The sequence below is a fragment of the Homo sapiens genome, chromosome 1 (genome assembly GCF_000001405.40).
Source record: "Homo sapiens chromosome 1, GRCh38.p14 Primary Assembly".
Lineage (NCBI taxonomy): Eukaryota > Metazoa > Chordata > Mammalia > Primates > Hominidae > Homo > Homo sapiens.
Window position 1 is genome coordinate 64399846 of NC_000001.11, and position 4502 is coordinate 64404347.

The following is a 4502-nucleotide window of genomic DNA, read 5'->3' on the forward strand; positions in this document are numbered from 1 at the left end:
AAGAAATCAGTCATATTAGGTAGGAATGCACCCAAAGGACCTCATTTTACCTTAATTACCTCTTTAAAGGTCCTAACTCCAAATACAGTCGGATTCAGAGGTACTGGGGCAATACAACTTCAATATATGAATTTGGGGTGTTACAATGCAGCCCATAACATTAAATAATCTATTTAGATATTTGGTAGACTTATGAATGTTCTTTGGGCTCTTTTGTGTCTTCTTTTCCTGTGGCAAATGAATACAGGTTGTGGTGACTGACTCAGTGGAGGGAGGGTCTCAGCAATCTACACTATAGTCATAGATTACAAGACCCTTCGCACTCTGGCTTCACTTACTCCTCCAACCTCTTCTCTCAGCTCTCCCTATATTTCTCTTTCTCTCTTCCATACAAGATGTCCTTCAGATTCTCAAAATCCCCACTGTGTCTCTCATTTCTGGACCTTCGAAGATGTTGTTCCTTCATCTTAAATGCTCTTCCTCTTTCTACTTCCCTTTGCCTTGCTAACTCCTATAAATCATTCGTGTCTCACGTTCAGCTTTTCCTGGTACCTAAAACTAGGTTACGCTTCCCTATTTGTTAACCTTCCCATAGCACATAACTATTTACCATTGTATAGGTCTCAGTCATTACACTTTTCACTACTTATGTAATATCTGTGTTTTCTGCTAAACTGTAAGCTCCGTGGTGGCAAGGACAGTGTCTGTATTGGTCACTGCTATATCCAGTATCTGTTGCAATGTCATGTTATGTTCAGTGTCTGCCACAAAGTAGATGCACAATAAGTATTTGTTTTTTGTTGTTGTTGTTTTTGTTTTCCATCTTTATTAAGGCATAATTGACAAATAAAGATTAAATATATAAGGTTTGAACATTGATGTTTTGATACACATCTACATCACAAAATGATTACCACGATCAGGTTAATTAACATATCGTCTCACAGTTACCTTTTTTCATGTGTGGTGAGAACACTTGAGATCTACTCTCAACAAATTTCAAATATACATTATTATTAACTATAATCACCATGCTGTACATTAGTCTCCAGAACTTACTGATCTTATAACTGAAAGTTTGTGCCCTTTGACTAACATCTCCCCTTTTTCTCCACCCCATGGAAACTGCCACTCTACTCTCTTACTGTATATTCAACATTTTTATGGATTCCATATCTGATAAGTTATGCTGAATGAATGAAAACTAACTCTGAGACATTGTTGGCTTAGTGCGCAAACAATTCTCCACACACAAGAATAATATGTGGAGTTACACCTATTTTTTAAAGACCTTGCTCTATCTGTCAGTCAGGATTGTTAGTTGGAAGCAACAAACATTTACTTGTGCTAATTTAAGCAGAAAAGGATATTGAGTAGCTTGCAATAGCTTCAGGAAGACAAGAGATCCAGGTTTGAAGGCTACAGAGCCAGGTACAATGCCCAAAATCACAAGGCAAAACTGTTTCTACCTTTGGGCACCCAATGCCACAGGTGGCACTGACAGCATCACTAGACATCAGGCACTAGGGCTGCCACTAAAACCACTGTCCCTGCTGCCTCTAGAAAGCAACCCCTATTGCATAATTGCCTCCAGCACCAAGGCAGCCACTATCATCACTACCACCCCCAGAGCCTCCACTGCCCACATTAATTTCCCTGCACCCTGTCCTCACTGCCCCACAACTACCTCTATCCCTACTGCTCCACCGCCCCTGCTGCCACCTGCATGGATTCTGGGCAGACCCTGCTTCTTCACATCAGCAGCTTTCCATTTAAAATCTGCTTGCCAGAGCCTAGGCTATGTAACCCATTCCCTAGCTACAATGGAGGCTGGTAAAGAAAATGTCTATTTTCATTTCTATAGCACGTTACAGACTATGCCTCATAATGTGAGAAACTCCCAAACACAGGAAGGAGGTTCAGACACTGGAAGGCCAAAAAGTATGACAAAATGTCCACTGCTTTGTTACTGCAGAAGCAAGAAGTTCCATGAACCCCAAAGAGCTGTGTCTTTATAGAATATGTATGTGTGTGTGTGCATGTGTGTGTGTTTAAACATCTTTCCAATCTTTACCATCAACCTTTTGCAAGATAACAACAAAATGTCCATCGAGATGCTAACACCAATGTTCAGCTTTGCAAACTTGTAGATGGTCAGTTTCACCCTCCACCCATAGTCGATGTTCATGCCCATCCCAATGACCCAAATTCCCCAAATTCTTCCACTTCCACCTCCCTTTCCATAACCATCGTTTTGTTCACCATCTTCCATTCTACCTTTTATGTACTTGAATCTTCCCAGTGCAGGAGAGCAGAGGCCATGTGCAGGGATGATGGGGATCTAGTGCTTAGAGTGGGGTTGTACACACAGGCCCTCTCTCAACAGCCAAGTATCACTTGGAAACATAACAGAGGACCCTACCTGCCCCATGCCACCTCCCTTCAGTACTGGATTCTCCTCAGTGGTTAGGGTTTCTTGCCCTGACTGTTTCACTACCATAGATCTCAATTTACCTTTCAACACTTTCTCAAGCAGTTTCAACACCAGGAAACCTCTTTGCCCCATGTCTTTGAGCTGCTTGATCACATCTGTGTTCTTAGATCACAGCACCTTCAGTCAGCATGGGGCCTTCTCCATCCACCCTATCCTTCAGCCTCTCTACTTTAGACCTTCCGTAGTTTCTCAGTCCTTTTAATTCCAGCCCCTTTCCACCAAAATCCTGCCTCCTCTGGTGTTCGGCCTCTGAGTCATCTCCTCTTTCAGGAGCTGCTGATTAATATAGAAAAATGAAGGTGAGGACCTGAGGAGATCTGGAAGAAATGGCAGGAAAGTATTCCTCATAATGACTTGGTCTTATTTGAAATATCTTTTCCAAAAAATCTGTAAAGGCCTCTTATCCTGAGGCTAACCTCTTGCTAGCATAGCTACCCTTGTTTTTATGCTGAAAGACTGTCTCTCCCCTTTACAACCTTCAGTCGCATTACAAAAAAAAAAAAAAAAACCCACTTCTATCTAAATATAATTGGGAGTAAAGGCTCCAGAAAGGAAGTTACAAGTAACCAGGCATTGTTCTGTCATAGGGCCAAGGCTTATGCCTGAGCCAGCTCATGAGCCACCCTCAGGTCACCCTGGCCCACTCTGGAAAAGACACACTCATCATCAGTCCCTCAGTCCCGCACGCAAAGGCACCCTCATTCTGAGCAAGAGGTGGGTCATGTAAAATACCCTTTGTCCACTAAGTAGAGCTTCTCCCTGCGGAGGCAGAAGATGGAGGGGGCATGTGGCCCTCAACAGCAACCTGAGTAATCTGCTTCAAACACAGAATGCTGCTATTGAAAAGTCTGCAGGATAGTGTCACATATGCCAAGGGACCTGAAGCCTTGCCCAAAATCCCATATTGACTGCTTTTCTTTACTTAAAAAATTGTGTGTTGAGGCCGATTCCCAGCACACAAAAAGCTTTAGGAACTGCTGGTTCCCTACAGTCACAGCAATTGCAGACATGTGTGGCAGTTATTTGCAATGCAGGGATGGTCAGACTCCAAAAACTTGATCACCATTTTCAGAGGCTGAGTTTGACGAATTTGGAATCAGAAATTCTGTTCACTTTGTATAAGCAACCACCACATTGCCACATTCCCCTGTGATTAATGGCCAGAGTTAGAGAATGATGTATCTCATCCTCCGAGTATGTGGCACCCACTGCCTGGTTTATCATGACCACTCATGTCATTACTGCTTCTGAAACATAAATCAATGAAACTGAATGACTGTGCTGACCACCACTCTCCAGACTCAGATGACAACTCACCACACACACACGCCACTTCAAATCCTTTTTTGTAAATAGTTATTTTAAATAAATAAGTAACAAGGGCTTTCTCTGGAAGTGTTGTGTGAGCACCTGAGGATAATTCATTTATACAACAAAAGCAAGTGTTTCCTGTGATTTCCCTGGAGTTGGATCAAGATAGGGTTTGCCTTGAGTCCACAGGACCAAAAGTTCTAGAAAAAAAAAAAGAATACAAGTTCTAGAAAAACATTTCTCAAAGTGTGCTGCTCAGAACAAGGATCCCTCAGGAAATTAACAGGTGTTATGGAAGAAGAATGTTCTGTGGTCAAGCAATTTTGAGAAACACTGCATTAAACAAGGTTAACCAAGTTAAATAGGTCTCTTTACTGCAGGACTTCTCAGAACTTTTGATATACTAATGTGCATTGCAAATTACAAAGTTGTGTATGTTGCATTTTTAAAACGAATTTGACCACAGAATACTTGTTGTTGAGCATATTACAAGATGTGCTTCATGAAACAGACTTGAAGCCTTGTTTAGAGGGTAGACATTACCTTACTGCTCAACTTTCTTCCTCCTAAGGTAGAAAAAATCAGCAAGATGTGAGAAGCATGTCTTTTGGAGCCATCTGGTGTTAATTTCTCATTTGTCAGCTGAAATATCTCTGTCCCCGTCTGAAAGAGATGTTCCTTGCCACAAAGTGTTTTG

General features: G+C 41.8%; 1 annotated feature.

Annotated features, from left to right (window-relative positions):
* Positions 2939-4138: an enhancer, noted in NCBI's record as "BRD4-independent group 4 enhancer chr1:64868467-64869666 (GRCh37/hg19 assembly coordinates)". NCBI's record gives its function as "activates an origin of replication core promoter dependent on BRD2, P300/CBP, MED14 and CDK7 cofactors, and independent of BRD4, by STARR-seq in HCT116 cells {active_cell/tissue: HCT116}" and the evidence as "EXISTENCE:reporter gene assay evidence [ECO:0000049][PMID:35650434]".